A 20290-nucleotide genomic window follows, 5' to 3' on the forward strand; every position below is an offset into this window, starting at 1 on the left:
CTTCCCAAAAAGACTGGAGTGGGTTGCACAGTGTCCCCCCAAATCCACATCCACTTGGCACTTCAGAATGGAACTTGTTGGAAATAGGGTCTCTGCAGATGCTGTTAGTTAAGAGGAGGTCATGCTGGATTAGAGTGGGCCCTAACCCAGTGACTGGTGTCCTTATGAGGAGGAGAAAGACACACAGACAGAGGGAGGAAGATGGCCATGTGGTGCTGGAGAGGCAGACGGGATGCAGCAGCTGCAAGCCACTGAACCCAGAGAGCACTGAGAACCCAGAGGCCGGATGGAACCCGCCCCAGAGCCCTGGGAGAGAGCACCGCCCTGCAGACCCTATTTTGATTTTGGACTTCTGGCCTCCAGAACTGTGGAAGAATAAATGTCTATTGTTTTCAGCCATCCAAGTTTGCAGCCATTTATTGCGACGGCAGCCCTAGAAAATTCATTCAGGGATTCAGGGAGCCACTGGAAAAACTCAGCTCCCTGCAGCCCACGCTGCAGCCCACCCACCCTGCACCGTTGGGTTGCCCTGCCGAGGGAGCGTGGGGCACCCCCCGCACAAAGCCCTCGTCCCTCTCGGTGTGCCATGGGCTCCTTGCCTTCCTGGGCCCTGCCCTGTCCTCTGGGTCCCCTTTGCTGCCGCACATCCCACTTTTCCGATGACCTCAGGGGGTGTTATTATATCATCTACATCGGCATCTGCCTCTCCCTCCTGCACGCAGGTCCTGGAGTCTGTCCCCGGCCCACAGAAGACTCATGAATGAATCACCAAATAGGATCATTCAGCTGAACTGAACTTTACTTGTACTTAAAGAAGAAACAGCTGGGCCTTGTTGGCAAAGCAGGGATTAGAGAAGCAACCGTCGCTGTTTGTCAAGGGCTTGACATTTGTCAGAACGGGGGCTGGATGGCTCGCGTTGCCTGGATGGGTTCGTTCTTTCCCACATCCAGTGAGGGAGATGCTCCTATACCCATTTGACAGGTGAGGTGACCGAGCCCCCGTGATGTGTCACTGGGGGGCCCTGCCGGTCTGGCTCTGGCAGCCACAGGGTGCCACCCACTCTCGTGCGCACCCCTGCTCTCTCAGGTGGTATCAGCCCCACACAAAAGGGAGGAGTGAGGCCAAGAGGAGTTTTCCTCTCAGACGGACCCGGGAACCACCTCAGCCCTGTGCTCGATTTGCTAACAGGACAGTCACCCAGCTCGCATTCACAGCGAAAATGGCTGACATTTTGACATTAAATTCAAATTCCCTTAATTTAGGCGATTCTGTTTATAATCAGCAGCAGCCACACGCACTTCTGAGCCCTGCTTCACGAGGTTGGAGAGGGCGCCTCTTTTGACCATCCAGACTCCTGGGTGGGGAGCACCGGGGCTGGCTGTCCTGGGAGCCTAGGTGGGCATGGGGCACAGAGCTGAGTGGGGCAAGCAGGGCCACCTCAGGGTCAAAGAGCTTCAGGGTTCCTGCAGACATAGTGGGGCAGGATGGGACGCGTTCCCAGGCCTCCCTCCCCACCCTGGTGTGCCTCACCATCTGCCTCCTCCAAACCTGGCCCAGGCCCAGCCAGCACACCTGGGTGCAGAAGGCACGAGTCCATGAGGGCCAGACCACAGAGCCATGTGTCAGCTGGACTGCTCATCTTGAGCCCGGGACCCCACTGGCTTGGCAGGACAGGCCTCCCCAGGAGCCACAGTCACCTTCTCTGTGCAAGCCAAGGTGGTGAGGATGGTTCTGCCCCCACAGGGCGCTGGGCCCGGTCTCCTTCATTCAGACTGTGCCTTGGTGAGAATCAGTGTGTGGCCCCTTCCCGACAGGCTTCACTCCCACTTCACGTCCTCGCTCAGGAAGTCGTCCTGAAATTTCTGATGTGTTAGAACAAGACAGCCGTGGCCTCAGCTCTCCAATGGACAAGGTGGCAGTGTTTGCCCGGCAGCCTGGCCCCTAGTGGCCCACTACCCTGTTTCTGATGCCATGAAGAGCTGCCCCGGCCCCACGGGATGCCCACCAGGATCAGAGACCTGGGGCGGCTTTCCCTCCAGGCCCACCCTGTTAGCCCACATCCCACCCCGCTTCAAGCCTCTGCCCCCGGCACACTTATAGCTGCCTTCTGCTTGTGCCTGTCTCCTGCCTGTGCCCATCTCCTACCTGTACTCGTCTCCTGCCCGTGCCCATCTCCTGCCTGTGCCTGTCTCCTGCCTGTGCCTGTCTCCTGCCTGTACCCGTCTCCTGCCTGTGCCTGTCTCCTGCCTGTATCTGTCTCCTGCCTGTGCCCGTCTCCTGCCTGTATCTGTCTCCTGCCTGTGCCCGTCTCCTGCCTGTGCCCGTCTCCTGCCTGTGCCTGTCTCCTGCCTGTACCCGTCTCCTGCCTGTACCCGTCTCCTGCCTGTGCCTGTCTCCTGCCTGTACCTGTCTGCTGCCTGTGCCCGTCTCCTGCCTGTGCCCATCTCCTGCCTGTGCCCATCTCCTGCCTGTGCCCATCTCCTGCCTGTGCCCGTCTCCTGCCTGTATCTGTCTCCTGCCTGTGCCCGTCTCCTGCCTGTACCTGTCTCCTGCCTGTACCCATCTCCTGCCTGTGCCCATCTCCTGCCTGTGCCCATCTTCTGCCTGTGCCCATCTTCTGCCTGTGCCCGTCTCCTGCAGATGATGGAAACAGCCTCACAAGAGCCTGCTGTGCACACTCATCCCCTAAGACCAACTCACTCCCACTTGAGAAACTCTTGCTCCTGCTGAGGTCAGCAGACATTCATGAAACGCAGGTGTAAGAGATGGCTGGAAGTTTGTTTTCTTTTACTTTCATTGGAAGCAGTTTACAAGCTGCCTTCTAAAAGTACACAAAAAGTGCAAATTGGAGACAGGATGGTTCACAAAACGCTTCTGAGATGCACCCCGTGCCCATCAGCGTGGCCATTTAATGCTATCCACAGGGTGCATGGGCACGTCACGCGTTTGTCTCTCACCCTGGACAAGGCCAGGAAGGTCTATGGCCCGGCTCCATCTCCAGGGCCCAGACACATGAGCCCAGTGGCCTTGGGCAAGTGGCTTCACCTCCTAGAAATTCAGTTCCACCCTCTGCAAATGGGACTGTTACCCCTGGTCTTGCAGGTGTGACAAGGATCAAAGATGAGGTGCAGAAACCCCCAGCAGCATGGCTGGCGCGGGGGAGGCTCTCACCCCAGGGCCTTCGGTCCCAGGCTCCCTGCTTCAGAGCAGTGATGGGCGAGCTTCTATTCTGGGATCTGTGAGATTCTATGGGCCAAAGCCAAGCAGGAGCTTTAACCAACACTCAAGCCAGGAAGGACAGCATGTTGGTGCTTGTCAGGGGCTGAACTGTGCCCCTCCTGGTTCATAGCTCTAAACCCTGACCCCCATTGTGACTATATTTGGAATTGGGCCCTTTAAGAAGGTAACAGAGGTTAAATGAGGTCCTAAGGGTGGGGCCCTAATGCAATGGGACTGGCATCCTTATAATAAGAGGGAGTGGCACCAGGGATGCATGCACAGAGGGTAAGGCCAGGCGAGGACACAGCACCTTTGCTGTCTGCAAGCCAGGAGGAGAGGCCTCAGGGGAAACCAACCTATTGGCACCTTGATCTTGGACTTCCAGCCTCCAGATAATGAGAGAATAAACATGTTGTTTAACACATCCTGCCCCAGGTGATGGCATTTTGTCAGCCCCAAAAGATGAATACAGCAAGCCTCCATGATCTTATTCATTTATCCTTAGAATTCTGTATTTTGACTGATTTGCTGATTGATACCCTGCCATATGCCAAGAAGGATGTGTTCTAACGTCTGTGTTTACAGGCAAATGGTTCCCATGAACAGTGCTAGGAGCCGCTCACAGTGGTGAGAATTATCCTTTCACATTTCCAGGCATGTGGTCAGGCGCTCCCATTTCACGGGTGATCTTATGGAGTGAACCGTGTCTGTCTGCAGCATTGACAGTGGGATTTGCGGTTGAAAGGCGAGGGGACACTTGGGCGGCCGGACGTCCGTGCTGCTGTCCACATCGCGCCTGCCTGTGCTTCATCAGGCTCCACACTGCCTGTGCTATACTATCCAGGGGGTGCCAGCCTGGGCACTCTTCACATCCTCCTTCCAAAGAACTCGGGATGCATCCACGTGCCGCTCCAGAGTATTCTCTGCTGGGCAATTTCAAGGGATATTCATGGAGGGTAATTTTTCCTCTCTTTGAATCTCATTTAGACGTGGTTGTGTTTGTGAGGCTGGAGATTCCAAGTGCTCCTAGTTACTGGGCATCCTGCCTAATTTGAAATGTTTTCCCCTCACAGCCCTTGAGAATCCACAAAATGATCCCAGAGGTCAGCTTGGCACCAGAGCTCCAGTGCTGACCAGTGTGGGGGGTGGGGGCAGGTAATTTGGGCTCCATGTTCAGGCAATAAACACCTCTCCATGCATACCAAAATATACAAAAGGAGCCAGGCGCAGTGGCTCACGTCTGTAATCCCAGCACTTTGGGATCACAAGGTCAGGAGTTCGAGACCAGCCTGGCCAATATGGTGAAATCCTGTCTCTACTAAAAATACAAAAATTAGCCAGTCATGGTGGTGGGTGCCTGTAGTCCCAGCTACTCGGGAGGCTGAGGCAGGAGAATCACTTGAACCCTGGAGGTGAAGGTTGCAGTGAGCCCAGGTTGCGCCACTGCACTCCAGCCTAGGCGAGACTCCATCTGAAGAAAAAAAAAAAAAAATATATATATATATATATATATATATATATATGTATATATATACACATGCCCCTGGCAGGACCCCGTGCCCACGGTGTTCCAGGGAGCACAGCCCTCTGTGTGGGAGGCAGGAGGCTGAGAGTGAGCACTCGCCAGCCTTGAGTCCTCAGGCTGTCAGCCCGAGCCTAAGTGCCCCTTGACTCTGAGGGGTTCCGAGTGAGGGGAAGGTTCCCACACCCACCGCCCACCTGCTGCCAGGCCCTGGGGGAGCTCTAGTGAGAAACGTCCACGTACTACTGCCCAACATGCTCGCCGCTCCTGAAGAGTTTTGTTTGAATAGAAATGTCCCCGTGTCCACGGCCATTTTGCTGGAACAGACTCCAGGCTGCACAGAGGCGCCAACACTGTCCCCAGCCGGAGGCCACCGCTGCTGCCCTCACAGCTGCCATCTCACGGTCTCCCCCTGCCCCACTTCAGGGCTCTCCCCGGGGGGCCAAACAAGGCCCGGCGATGGGGTGGAGCCACTCGCAGCCTCCCCCGACCCACGCGCCTGCCCACCACCCCACATCCTCCCCCAAAACCTCCACACCCGAGGGGAGACCACGGCCAGCCGGGGACATAGGGCCACACTCTGCCCCCAGAACTGTTGGGATGGAGAAGAGTGTACTACATTCCCATGTGTGGGACCGCTATCCCACCAGCGAGATCAAGTTAAAGGTAGACTGAGAGGGTTCAGGAAGGCGGGGAAGGATGCGCTACAGTCCTACCCAGGGACTTGCTATCCCACCGCCGGGTGAAGTTAGGGTAGAATGGGAGTTAGCGTTAATTCAGGAAGGTGGGGAAGGATGCGCTACAGTCCCACCTGGGGACTTGCTATCCCGCCATGGGGTGAAGTTAGGGTAGATTGGGAGTTAGCGTTCAGGGAGACAGGGAAGGATGCGCTACAGTTCCCCTGTGGCTCTCAGTGAAGCTAAGGTGGGCTGAGTTAGCATTCAGCAAGAGCCAAGGCTGCAGCCGGGGCTCAAGTCAGCGTCATCGTCAGAGCTGAGACTCCAGTAGGTTTGATTGCAGATCCCTGAACACCTCCTCTCTACGGGGGATCCTGAGACCCTGAACGGCCACCACCCCAATCCTGGCAACCCCGGCCCGTCGGCCGTGAGACTTTCACTTGCAGCTGCTTGGAATAATCAGGACATTCCCCGAAGGCCCAGGTACTGCTGTGCTCTCCTCGGGGGCCGAAACCCCTTCCTCAGTGCGTGTGCTGTGGGCGTCACGTGCAGAGCTTCCCCTGCTGCCTCCTCAACTTGTCTCAGCAGGAGGGCCTGGCGAGGGGTCGCTCTGCCCCTGGCGAGGGCCGTCCCTGGATGTAGGGTCCCAAGCCCTCTGCTCAGCTGCCTGTCCTGTTGAAGGGGATGACTCCCTGGGATTCTGAATCCTGAATGGACAACTGTCTTTTGTGCTAAGCGCCTGCCTCTGAGGGCCTTGCATAGGCCGGACACTTCAGGCACCACCACTCCAAATGCACCCTGTGTAGAATCAGTAGCCCTGGGCGGTGGGCGGGGACTCTCCCTTTGGTCCTGTGTATTGCTTGGGCTCAGCGCCAACAGAGCCAGGGCCTCCCTTCCTTGGGTGAGTCCAGCCAGCCGGCTGCACGGGCCTCTCTGGCAACAACCCAGATGCCTCGCCTGCCTGAGTGAGAGGTGGGCTCTGGGCAAGTCCTCAGCAGCTGGCAATTGTGGGGGACCGGCAGGGCAGGGGTCCCCTGACCCCATAGCTCTGCCTGACCTGAAAGGAAGCTTGAGAAGTAAAGGCAAAGAGGGGGTGACTCAGTGTGTGGGCCCAGACTACTCATCCACAAGTCCCAGAGGCTGGGTGGCTTCAGGGTATAAGAGGTGATGCGGCCTCCAATGAGGCCCCAGCCATGACCATAGGGATTCCTGCTGCCGCTGTGGCCCTGGGCAGAGTGGGTCTTGGGCATGGGCCAGCACCCAGGGAATGGACAGGGGCAGGAGGCCAGGCCAGCTCCTGGGTCAGGGCTGCTATGAACGTAGAAGGGAGACCACTGATGCCTCAGGAACTTCACTGCAGGCAGAATGAGTCCAGAAAACCTCAAGAAGGAAGTGAGTATGATTCCCCGTGTCTGCTCATGCCAGCCGATGCTGCAGCCTGGTTCTCCCTGGAGCCCTTGGGCATCTGCTTCTGGTGGTGATAGTTCAGGAGACCAGCACTCTGGGCAGATTGGTTTCCTATGGCTGCCATAACAGACCAGCAATTGGGTGACTTAAGCCAACAGAAGTGTATTATCTGACAGTTCTAGAGGCTAATGTCTGAAATCAAGGTGTGGGCAGGGCTGGTTCCTTCGGGAAGCTCTGAGGGAAAACCCATCCCATGCCTCTGTCCCAGCTTCTGGGGGCTGCCAGCATCCTTCACACTCCGTGGCTTGCGGATGCATCACTCAGTGTCGGCATTCACGGTCACAGCGCCTTCTCCTCCATGTCTGAGTCCTTTCATCCACCCTCCTCCAGCAGGATCTCATCTCGAGCCTTAATTACATCTGCAAAAACCCTATTTTCAACTAAGGTCATATTCTGAGGTTCTGGGTGGACATGAATTTTTGGATGGACACTAACCAACCACTAAGCTGGATATGGGAATTGCTCGTCCAGCCAACTGTGACAAAGGTGAATGTTGCTGTCCAAACCCCACTGCAGTGCCAGGGAAGGGAAGCACAGGGGGAACCAGATGCAGCTCTCCTCCAAGACACGCTCCTCTTTAGTTTCTAACCTCCTTAATTTTAATTAAGCCTAATTATCGTAACAACCCTAGTGAATTGAAATTGGGGGTTGTATTAATTTTCTATTGCTGCCATAATAAATTACCACAAAATTAGTGACTTATCACAAAATTTATTATTTTACAGCTCTGTGAGTCAGAAGTCCAACATGGGTTTCACTGGGCTAAACTGAAGGCACCAGGCAACTTGCATTCCTCTCCAGAGGTTCTGGGAGAGAATCAATTTCCTTGCTTTTCCTGGATTCTAGAGGCCACCTGTGCTCCTTGGCTCATGGCCACCTCCTTCATCCTCAAAGCCAGCAATGGCTGGCAGAAACTTTTTCACATTACTCCCTTCTGATTGCTTCTTCTCTTCCCTCTTCCACTTTAATAGGCCTCTGTAATTACATTGTACCTAGCCAGACAACCCAAAATAATATTCCTGTTCTCTGAGTAAGCTGCCTAGTAGCCTTAATTCCATCTGCAACCTTAATTCTCCTTTCCCATGAAAGGTAATATATTCCCAGCTTCCAGGGATTAGGATATGGATATCTTGTGGGGTGGGGGGTGACCTTATTCTGTCTAACATAGGAATTTTTCCAGATATCTTCTTATTATTGATTTCTAACGTATTCCATTTTTGTTGATGTACACCTTCTGCATTATCTCAATTGTTTAAATGTATAAAGACTTGTTATGTGCCCCAGCATGTGGTGGTCTATCTTGCAGAACATGCCACACACTTGAAAAGAATGTGTATTCTGAAGTTGCAGCATACAGTATAAATACCAAACAGGTCAAGGTCATTGATCATCTTTTTATATCACCTATATTTTAACTGAATTTTTCTCTATTTGTTCTATCAATTGCTGGGAAATGGCTGCTAAAATCTCTAAGACTGTATGATTGTCTATTTCTTCTTTTATTAGGTGCATACATATTTATGATTGTGATGTCTTCCTGATACACGGACTCTTTTGTCATCATGAAGTGACCCTCTTTATCGCCCTTTTTATTTTTTGAGACAGAGTCTCGCTCTGTCGCCCAGGCTGGAGTGCAGTGGTGTGATCTCAGCTCACTGAAAGCTCTGCCTCCCGGGTTCATGCCATTCTCCTGCCTCAGCCTCCCAAGTAGCTGGGACTACAGGTGACCGCCACCACGCCTGGCTAATTTTTTTTTTGTATTTTTTTTTTTTTTTTTTTTTTTTAGTAGAGACAGGGTTTCACCATGTTAGCCAGGATGGTCTCAATCTCCTGACCTCGTGACCCACCCACCTCGGCCTCCCAAGGTGCTGGGATTACAGGCGTGAGCCACCTCGCCCGGCCTCTTCATTGCTTTTAATGCTCTTTGTCTTGCAGTTGGTTTCACTGGATATTAACACAGCCACTCCAGTTTTCTTTTTTCTTTCTTTTTTTTTTTTTAGATGGAGTCTCGCACTGTTGCCCAAACTGGTGTGCAGTGGCGCAATCTCAGCTCGCTGCAACCTCCACCTCCCAGGTTCAAGCGATTCTCCTGCCTCAGCCTTCCGAATAGCTGGAACTACAGGGGTGCGCCACCACACCCAGCTAACTTTTGTATTTTTAGTAGAGACAGGGTTCCACTGTGTTGGCCAGGCTGGTCTTGAACTCCTGACCTCGTGATCCACCCACCTCAGCCTCCCAAAGTGCTGGGATTACCAGCGTGAGCCACCGTGCCCGGCCCCCACTCCAGTTTTCTTATGCTTACTGGCTGCATGGTATATCTTTCTCCAACTATTTATGCTCAATCTGTTCAAGATTTCATATTTGAAGTGAATTCTTAAAATGATTGTTACAGCTAGGTCTTGCATTTTTAAAAAGTCAGTTTTTATTGTGTTAAAATACAGATAACATGTAATTTACCGTCTTAACCATTTTAAAACGCACAGTTCAGTAGTGTCAAGTATATTTACATTGCTATGCAACCCATCTCTAGAACTTTGTCACCTTACAAAACAAACTCTATACCCATTGGATTCGTCCATCCTTGCGTTGCTATAAAGAACTACCTGAGATTGAGTAATTTATAAAGAAAATAGATTTAATTGGCTCACAGTTCTGCAGGATACATAGGAAGAATGGCTGGAGAGGCCCAGGAAACTTACAATCATGGCATAAGGTGAAGAGGAAGAAGGCATGTGGCTGGAGCAGGAGAAAGAGAGAGAAGGGGGAGGCGCTACACATGTAAACAACCAGATCTCATGAGGACTCACTCACTATCATGAGAACAGCAAGCAGAAATCCACTAATGATCCAATCACCTCCCACCAGGCCCCTCTTCCAACACTGTGGGTTACAATTCAACTTGAGACTTGAGTGGGGACACAGACCCAAACCATGTTACCCATTAACAATAACTCCCCATTTTTCTCTTTCTCCAGCCCCTGGCAACAACCATTCTGTTTCTGTAAGTTAGTCTACTCCAGATATCTTAGGTAAGTGGAATCATGCAGTATTTGTCTTTTTATGACTGGCTTATTTCACTTAGCATAATGTCCTCAAGGTTTAGCCATGTTGTAGCATGTATCAGAATTTACTTCTTTATTAAGTTTAAATACTGTTCCTTTTTTTGGATATACCACATTTGTTTGTTCACTCTTCTGTCCATAACTTTGGTTCCACCTTTTAGCTATTGTGAATAATACTGCTATTAATGTGGGTGTCGTGAGTGTATAAATATTTCTCTGAAACTCTGCTTTGAATTATTTTGGATATATACCCAGAAGTGGAATTGTTGGATCATACGGAAATTCTACGTTTAATTTTTTGGAACTGCCATACTGTTTTTCTACAGCAGCTGTGCCATTTTACATTTTCCACCAACAGGATACGAGGGCTCTGATTTCTCCACATCCTTTTCAATATCTGTCCTTTTTCTTTTTTTGATAGTAGCCTTCCTAATGGTTGTGAAATGTGGGTATTGTTTCTTAAAATCTAGTCTGACAATCTCTGCCTTTTAATTATAATGCTCAGTCCATTAACATTTAACATGATTTTTGATATGGTTAGATTTGGTGTGCTAATTTATTATTTGTTTTCTGTTTCTTCCCTCTGTTTCATGTTCCTCATTTCTGGGAAAGGGACACCTTTCCCAGTTTTGATACTCTTCATTACTTCTTCAAATCTGAATTTCCAACTGGTATTATTTCCCTTCAAAGAACTTCTAAGTTTTCTTTGATCTGAGAATAGCTTCATTTTGCCTTTATTCTGATTACAGAATTCTAGGTTGATAGTTTCTTTTTCCAGAACTTTTTTTTTTCTTGAGAGAGAGTCTTGCTCTGTTACCCAGGCTGGAGTGCAGTGGTGTGATCTCGGCTCACTGCAGGCTCCACCTCCCGGGTTCACACCATTCTCCTGCTTCAGCCTCCCAAGTAGCTGAGACTACAGGCGCCCGCCACTGCACCCGGCTAATTTTTTGTATTTTTAGTAGAGACGGGGTTTCACCGTGTTAGCCAGGATGGTCTCGATCTCCTGACCTCGTGATCCGCCCACCTCAACCTCCCAAAGTGCTGGGATTACAGGCATGAGCCACCACGCCCAGCCTTTTATTATTATTTTGGCATCACTCTGGTATATCAACTTTGGAAACAAAATACATCATTCTATTTATAGCATTCTGTTTTCAGCAGTGATATTTTCATTTACAAAATATAGTAATTCTTCATTGCTAAAAATGTCAAATCTTAGAAAATGTGGCTTTCCAACACATGATGTTATCATCATTCTCTAACAGTTGTTGGCCAAAGATTCATTTGATGAATCAGATTTTTCTGGAATAGACAATCCTGATGATTCAGACAATTCTGATGTGAGCTCTGTTCAGAAATAACTTCAAGAGGCCAGGCGCGGTGGCTCACGCCTGTATCTCAGCACTTTGGGAGGCTGAGGCAGGCAGATCATGAGGTCAGAAGTTCGAGACCAACCTGGCCAACATGGTGAAACCCCGTCTCTACTAAAAATAAAAATTAGCCAGGCATGGTGGCACATGCCTGTAATCCCAACTACTCCAGAGGCTGAGGCAGGAGAATCACTTGAACCTGGGAGATGGAGGTTGCAGTGAGCCAAGATCATGCCATTGTACTCCAGCCTCAGTGACCAATCTCAAAAAAAAAAAAAATCAAACCCCAAGAATAGTTTTATATTTTATTTTCACATTGAAATTTAGTCAGATTTGCTTCAGCCTCAAAGAGCATGTTTATGTAAAACTAATTGACTGCTGGCAGCAAGCTGCACATTTTTTTCTAAACAAGAAAAGGACTAAATCATCCAATTCAGAGTTCACTGAACTTTTACAATCTCACATTTGTGTGGTACAACAACAAATTTAGGAAATGTTTTGGCCACTACACCTTCGAATGTTTTGTCTGCTCCATCCTGTTTCCTTTACTCATAGGACCCAAATTATATCTATGTTACATCCTTTGATATTACCCCCTAGGTTCCCACGGCTCTGTTCATTATTTTTAAATCATTTTTCTCTCTCCTCTTCAGAATAGATTTTATCTGTATTCAAGTACACTGATCTTCATTTCTCATCTCTGTTCTGTTATTAAGACAATCCAGTGAATCTTTAATTTCAGATATTGTCTTTTTTTCAGTTCCAGAATTTCCACTTGGTCCTTATTTTCAGTTTCTATTCCTCAGCTGAGATTTCTTATCTTTTCTTTCCTGCAAGCATATTTCCCTTTACTTCATTGAATATCGTTGTAATATCTTTCTTAAAATCCTTGTCTTTTTTTTTTTTTTTTTGAGACGGAGTCTCGCTCTGTCACCCAGGCTGGAGTGCGGTGGCGCGATCTCCGCTCACTGCAAGCTCCGCCTCCCGGGTTCACGCCATTCTCCTGCCTCAGCCTCCTGAGTAGCTGGGACTGCAGGCACCTGCCACCATGCCCGGCTAATTTTTTGTATTTTTAGTAGAGATGGGGTTTCACCGTTTTAGCCAGGATGGTCTCAATCTCCTGACCTCGTGATCTGCCCACCTCGGCCTCCCAAAGTGCTGGGAAAATCCTTGTCTTTTAATTTCAACATCTTGATCATCTCAGAATTGTTCTCAGTTGATTGACTTTTTGGTTTAAACTGGGTCGCATTTTCCTGGTTCTTCATATGTCAAGCAATTTTAGATTGTATCCTGAATATTAGGAACATTATGTTGTGGAGGTTCTAAACTCTGTTCTAATCTTCCAGAGAATGTTCATTTTTTTCTCAGTTAAACTTAAACGGCAAATTTGTCTCTTTCGTATCAGCTCAAATCACAGTTTAGATATTTTATCCTTAGCTAAAATGCATTGAGTCTGCCTAAAAGCATGTGTAGTTCAAAAGTTAAGCAGAGAATTGAGTAGAGCTTGTTTTTTGTTTTTCTTTTTTGTCTAGAGTTTGTAGTTTTTATTTGCAAGAGGTTTAGGTCCAGTAGGAGTTAAGGCCATGCCCATATTTTTTCTAACATGTAAGTGTTTTGTTCACCTGTCACAAAGCTGGGAAGCCTGTGAGCAGGTGACTTAGTGACAGACGGAAAAACCTTCAGAGGAGGTTGAGGAATAAAAGAGCAACTCTCTCTAGGCAGAGGGCAGAGGCAGCTGTGAACAAATCAACCTGTATTAGGCAGCTCAGGCTGGGTGGTTTAACCAACAGAAATTTATTTTCTCACCATCCAGGAGGCTGGAAGTCCAAGATCAAGGTATCAGCAGATATGGTTTCCTCTGAGGTCCCTCTTCTTGGCTTGCTGATGCTTGCCTTCTCCCCATGTCATCCTATGGCCATCCTTTGGTGTGTTTCGTCTGTGTCTTTGCCTCCTCTTCTTCTATCCAACCAGGCATATTGGATTAGGACCCACCCCAAAGACCTCATTTAACCTTTGTTACTTTTAAAGACCCTATCTCCAAATACCCACATTCTGATTTACTGGGGGTTAGGATATCGATACATGAATTTGGGGGGACTCAATTCAGCCATAACACTGCCCTTCAGAGGCTGAGGACTACCCTCTCCTAAAAGGCTGCAAAGGGGTGCAGCTGCCTCATGGCCCCTATGTTGTGGGGCATTCAGGCAGCAACTCCCCAGGCATCAGTTGCCCCCTCACTGCTTACTCGGTGCCCTCACATGTCCTGTCTCACTTTATCCTCCCTATCCTCTAGGGTGGTAGCTGCCAGGATTCCCATTTTGCAGACGTGAGAATGACTCCACACAGCTGGGAAGTGAGTAGACCACCACACATCATGTGTTCACTGCATCCTGGGCCTGTGCTTTACATGGTTAATTCAGTTATCTGCCCAATGTTGTCTTAGTCTGTTCAGGCTGCTATAACAAAATGCCACTGACTGTGTGGCTTAAACAACAGAAACTCACTTTCTCTCCATTCTGGAGGCTGGAGGTCTGAGATCATGCTGCCAGCATGGCTGGGTTCTGGTAAGCCCTCCTTTCCCGGCTTGCCAATGCCTGTCTTCTTGCTGTATCTTCACCTGGTGGAGAGAGAGGGATAGTGAGCTCTCTGGTTTCTCTTCTTATAAGGACACAAATTCGATCATATCTGGGCCCCATCCTTAGGACCCCATCTAACCCTTATTACCTCCTTGTAGGCTCTTTCTCCAAATAGGGTCACACTGGGAGTTAAGGCTTCAACATAGGAATTTTAGGGGGACCCAATTCAGTTCATAGAAACTCCATGTTTCTCCTGTATTCTGATGGGGAAACTGAGGCTCAGGAAGATCCACTCACAGAACTAGGGAGTGACACAGCTGGGTGCCCACTTCCCATGCCAGGCCTGTCTGACGAGGAGCCCATCTGGGGTCTTGAGCTCTGGTCTTCCAGGCCCGATAGGTCATGGACACCATCCACAGACCTCAGGCCCTCCTGTCATAGGACGATGGTAATCACCTGTCCAGGCAGCTGCCATGCTGGCTGGAGGGGAGGAGATGGTTCTTCAGTCCCTATCTCAAGGCTCAGCCCTGGCTCCTGGCAGCCCTGATTGTTTGACCCAGAAGCAGGCAGCTCCCTCTGCAGGTCCCCAGAACACCCTGGGCTGGGCCATTTCTCCAAGCTCTGCCTGGAGCCTCCACCCTGAGAGAAGCGGCCCCCATCTCGCCAGCTGCCACCTGGTTCCTGTAAGCGTCCTGCGTTTCAATAGTATTTGACAAAGAGGGAAGCCCACATGGCTTGGAGATTGTTCTGACTCACTGTAGAAAGTGTCCAAGGTTCCCAAAATACGGACACAGCAGTGAGTCAGGCATGCAGCCCACCTAGGTGCACACTGTCCTGTGCTCCTTTCTCTCCAGAGGACGCTGGGTGCTGGGCGCAAGTTCCTAGAGAACAATGGTGCCCAGCAGGTGGGCAGGGTATGGGCCTGTCCTGGAGCGCCCAGCATCCCGCACTTTTTGCTCGCCCTTCTCACCAGGGGCTGCAACTAGGTGGGCTGCATGCCTGACTGTACCAGCAGGTACAGGCACAGAGGGAGGCGTGGACCCTGCAGCAACTGGGCCAGCAGGTGACAGTGTGCACTATGGATGAGGCTGGCTCCTCTGAGGTGCAGATGCAGGGATGCACCTGGTACAAGCAGAATTGGACTATTTTGGAAAGCTTGGCCTCAATGGCATTTTAAAGTGCAGATGACACTGAAGAGTGCCCTTGGAGAAAGTCTGGGTGGGGACCAAGGGGACAGGGCGATGCCCTCTGCCCTGTGGGAGGAGATGGGTGAGCAACAAGGCTTCTTAGCATTGAAATTCACCAAGGCCGGGCCGCCGCTTCCGCCGTATGTTACATGTCAAAGAACACTTTTAACTAAGCACTGCCGCTTTCCTCCGGCTGACTTCACCCAGTTACTTACCCCAGTAACACTGCCGGCAGCCCACTTGCATCCTAGAGGAAGTACTGGATGAGCAAGCGAAACAAGAGAAGGCTCACTCCCAAGCCCATCGTTCACAAGCCCTGCCTGCTGTGGGTGGACCAGGGTGCCCGGTCTCCAAGGGAGTGGCCCTGACTCTGTCCCCTGTCCTTAGCATGTCCCTTCTTCCCCTCCAGCCACCCACCGAGGGAGGTGCCACTGGCAAGGTGTGCACACCCCAGGGAGGGCAGCCCCACCTGTGCATCCTGCTGAGGGCAACTGTAGCTCAGCGCCACTGAGGCTAGAGCCACAACAGGAGGCTGTGCACTCACAGGGACAAAAATACCCCAAGGAAATCAATGCGGGCCTTATTAATATCAGACCCATACGTGACAACTGTCAGACAATCGGTCAACAAGGGGCCTCGTGTCTGCATGATCCCAGCTAACCCACTGTGATCTTCATGAAGTGTCCTTCTGGGGGGTCCGGATCTTCAAATATGAGGGGAAGACCCTTCCCTTTTATTAGCAGCTAAGCTCTTTATACTTTTCCCATATTGCGGCAGGTTAGAAGTCTAAGCTTTATTGTCTTATGTTATTGAAAATCCAGATTCCGGCAGGCGTCTCCCTCAGGTCAAGCTTTGTCTGCGAATACATTCTCATTTTTCCATGTACAGAGACCGTCTGGAGAGGGGCAGAAAAAGATTATGACTGTAATATACTTAAATCCAATTTATTTGCCTGGCCAGAAACTTCCACCCTCCACAATTGCTTCCTACCCAAGATGCTTCTTTAATTCTTTCTTGACAGGGAGTAACATGCGGCGGCCTCTTCCAGCAGGTACAGGCACAGAGGGAGGCATGGACCCTGCAGCAACTGGGCCAGCAGGTGACAGGTGGCCTGAGAGAGAGGGCCAGCCGCTGACTGAAGTTTCGGGTTCGGGACTGCTCATTTGTGCATGAGAAGTGGGTCCTCAGTTGTATGTTGTTTACCGGGAGAGAAATGCAGTAAATGGAGAATAACAGGCCGTTGTCCAGGCAAGGCCACCCCAGCCTGTGGCTCCCTTGCAGGCCCTGGCTTACACTTCATCTCATCCAGGAGCATCTGTCTTGGGGGCCCCTGGGATGAGGGTGGGCCCCACAGCCTCACTTAAGGTCTTGATGAGCCTGTGTAACACTTCCCTGCAGGCTTACCTCTGATATAGGCTCACAATCCGGGAGGAAAATGGTTTCGGGGGATTATTTTATTAATTGGCGTTTGCTCGTTTTAAATGATGGATGTAAAGGGACTGCCAGGACAGACGGAGGTGTGGGCATCAAACACCGCCCAGGCCCTTCCCCACCCCCCAGGCTGAGCCATGCCTGGGGCCATCCTTGGCCTTAGCCTCCCTGGCTAATGAACCTGGGACTGGGCTGCCCTCCCAATTATCATCTGCTGGCCCTGCCTACAGCCCACCTCAGTGCAGCACAGAGCACAACCATTAAGCACCGACTGTGTATGCTTTTTCCTGCTAAGCTGGAGGAGGCGGAGACGGTAGCAAGGCCGGAGGGAGTGATGGGCCAGCAGGCTCTGACCACAGGGCAGGGGAGTGCTGCACTGGGCAGGGAGGACGCAGGGAGGGGCTTGACTGATAATGTGTGGAGCCACCGCTCTTCCCAGTTTGCCCAGGATGTTCTGGTATTGGTGCTAAAAGTCCTGCATCCCAAGAAAGGCTCAGCCTCAGACAAACCAGGACAGTTGGTCCCCCAGCAGCTGGGAACAGTGACACTAGTCCAGCCAGTGCTGCTCTGTCACCCCAGCAGCTGGGAACGGTGACACTAGCCCAGCCAGTGCTACTCTGTCCATCTGTGTATTGGCCAGTGTCTCCAGGGAAAGAGAACCAACAGGATATACACAGATACATGGAGAATGATTTCTTATGGGGTCGGCTCATGTGATTTTGGGGGCTGAGAAGTCCCACACTCTGCTGTCTGCAAGCCGGAGGCCGAGGACCACCGGTGGTGCTTTCCAGTCCAAGCCCAAAGGCCTGAGAGCCAGGGGAGTCCGCCACGTGAGTCCCAGTGTGAGTCTGAAGACTGGAAAACCAGGAGCACCAGCATCCGAGGGCAGGAGAAGATGGGCAGCCCAGATCAAGCAGAGAGAGCAAACGTGCCCTCCTCATCTTCCTGTTCTACTCAGCCCTCGATGAGGTGGATGCTGCCTGCCCACACTGATCTCATGAGTGTTTCATGCAGTCTCCTGATTTCAAGGCCTTTTCCAGAAACATTCTCACAGACACACCCAGAAATAATATTTCACTAGCTATCTGGGTATCCTGTGGCACAGCCAAGTGGACCCATAAAATTCACACTCATGCCCTGCAAGTCAGAAGATGCCCTGGGCCTGTTTCTCATTCATACGCTGCAGGTGGGGAGGCTGACCTCTGCCTCTAGGAAGGCTCCCGACGTCTCATGCGCTCTTCTCCTTGGGGCAATGGCCTTCCCCAAGGGTACTGTGGATGACTCTGAGGAAAGCACAGTGGGTGACTACCAATTTGCTGTCCCCAGAGAGCTACTGGGCATGAACCATTTAGGGACGTGGCAAATCACACAGCAATGTGCAGGGTTTGGGATAAGAAACTGGCCAGCCTGGGGAAGCTAATTCTGAAATCAGCAGTGGGAGGTCTGGAAGCTCCATTCTCTTGGTATCTTAGTGAGGATGCCCCAGGAGGGGACCTGTCCCCTGCCATTCTCCCTTTCCATGGGCTGAGTGCACTCATCAGCAGGGAACATGAGGAGCTGGGGTGGGAGTCATCTGAGCCTGGATGCCCCCTCCCTAAGGGAGTGCTGGGAATTTCAGCAGCCAGCATCAGTAGGCCTGGGATCCATGCCCCCAGCCCCCAGTCCCTGCTGGGCTGAAGGCACCCCAATCCCAGCTGGCCTGTTGCTGAGCAGTCCAGAAAGAGCACCGAGGACCATATCATGACATCTGCCTGTCCCCGTATATGGACAGAGCAGTCTGATCCCTAGCCTGCCGTGCAAGCGTGGTATGAGTTCTGGGTCTCTCCAAGGTGAAGATCACTCGAAGGCTTCTTTTGCAAAACGGCTTAGGAAGTGGATCATTTGGTTCATAAGACACTGAGTACTGAGTCACATTCTTCCTGCACATCAGAATAAGGCAGCAGCAAGTCTCCTGAGACTCTCCACCGCACCCTGCAGCCTCCAGACAGTGAAGCGCCTTATTCAAGAGAGTAGAATGGGACGGCGTGCTGGCTCACGCCTGGGGAGGCCGAGGTGGGTGGAGGTCAGCTGAGGTCAGGATTTCGAGACCAACCTGGCCAACATGGTGAAATCCTGTCTCTACTAAAAATACAAAAATTACCCGGGCTTGGTGGCGGGTGCCTGTAATTCCAGCTACTCAGGAGGCTGGGGCAGCAGAATTGTTTGAACCTGGTAGGCAGAAGTTGAGATCACACCACTGCAGTCCCGCCTGGGTGAAAGAGTGAAACTCTGTCTCAAAAAAAGAAAAAAAAAAAAGGTAGAATGAAGGGACCACAGTGGCAGGGCCTATGGCTCAGTGAGGGGCACCAAGGGACATGAGGCTTCAGGAAGCTACACTGGCCTCCTTGCTTGGGGAGCACTCCCGGGCATGAACCGGCATGGGAAGGGACACTGGATCTTAGTGAGGGCCCCCGCCACCGGCACTCCCAGACCTCCAGGAGGCCCTGACAGGTGGGTGGGAGGGGCTGCGCCATCCTAATGGTATCACCTCTTCCCTCCACTGAAGGGCAGGTGGGTTGAATCCGTTCTACTTCTCAGGAGGCCAAGCTCCTGAACGGCCGTCTTGCCAGGGAGAAGCTGTGTTTGAGATAAAATGCAAAGCAGCGAGCACCTAAATACCGAGGCTCTGGTTCCTGAGTCCAGATGGTTTCCACAAACCTGAACTTTTAGGCGTGTGGACAGGTATCACCAGCTTGACCTCTACTGAGTCCCCTCCGAAGGTCAGGGGACAAGGCTGGGACAGCAGCTTCAGGCATGAATCTAAGCTCAGAGTCAGTACCAAGGAGGCCATGATGGACCAAAAAGCAGGGGCATTTCAAATAGTGATAGGTTTTGCCAAATTTCTTCCACAATGATTGAAACTCTTTTTTCATTGCTACCAATGGTGACTGAGTGCCTATTTTCCAACATCCTCACCAGCACGATTATGATTTTTAAAACATGTTGCCAACTTGATAGTAAAATGATATATCATAAATTCGATTTGCATTTTTAACTTATGAGTTTTAACACTTTTGCTGTAGCCAAAATTTGAGAGGAACTTATGTGTCTGTCAGGGGGATAGCAGCTATGTGAATTACTGTTCATCTTTTCAATGTAGCAACACATGGCTTTTAAAATGATGAGTTCCATCTGTGCTGATGAAATGTGTCCATAGGAAACACTTTCAGGACAAATTAAGTGAAAAAAACTTGTAGGACTTTTATGTATAATTTTAATAAGCTCTGCACACACACACACACACACATGCATGTACACACATGCACCCATGTGCATACTCTCACATGAACACGTGTAACACACACACACACACATGCACACACTCATACAATTACATATGCCCTATGTGTACACATAACCACATATGTACATGCCCATGCACACCCTAAGCACACATTCACATGCACACTCATGCACATTATGCATGCACACACGTTCATACATACCCAAATATGCACTTGTGTACACACGTGCACACCCACACATGCACACTATGAACACACAGCTACACATTCATGTGCACACCCATACATACACACACAGACAACCCCAGGCAGAGCTCTGTGGGCTTCATGTGGGAAGAAGGGAATGATTATTACTTTCTGATTCAGGGCTAGACTGTTTAGGCTAAATCAGAAAATGTGCATAGAGTTATCACGTACATGGAACGATCATTCTGCAAACGTTAACCACTTTCACGCCGTTTGTTAGCTAACTTAACTGACAAAGGAAACATATT

General features: G+C 50.6%; 1 protein-coding gene across 2 annotated transcripts in view; it reads right to left on the minus strand.

The window, feature by feature from the left end:
- Nucleotides 1-13089: 13089 nt before the first annotated feature.
- Nucleotides 13090-20290, minus strand: part of C10orf143 (chromosome 10 open reading frame 143) — a 75706-nt gene continuing 68505 nt past the window's right edge. For both annotated transcript variants that reach the window (XM_024448009.2, XM_024448007.2), the window contains 2 exons: nt 13823-13935; nt 13090-13277 (listed from right to left, as the gene is read on the minus strand). In XM_024448009.2, coding sequence (XP_024303777.1) covers nt 13223-13277; nt 13823-13935 — 168 coding nt within the window. In that variant the 3' untranslated portion in view covers nt 13090-13222. The remainder of the gene's footprint in view (nt 13278-13822; nt 13936-20290) is intronic.

Source organism: Homo sapiens, chromosome 10 (genome assembly GCF_000001405.40).
Source record: "Homo sapiens chromosome 10, GRCh38.p14 Primary Assembly".
NCBI classification, from domain to species: Eukaryota; Metazoa; Chordata; class Mammalia; order Primates; family Hominidae; genus Homo; species Homo sapiens.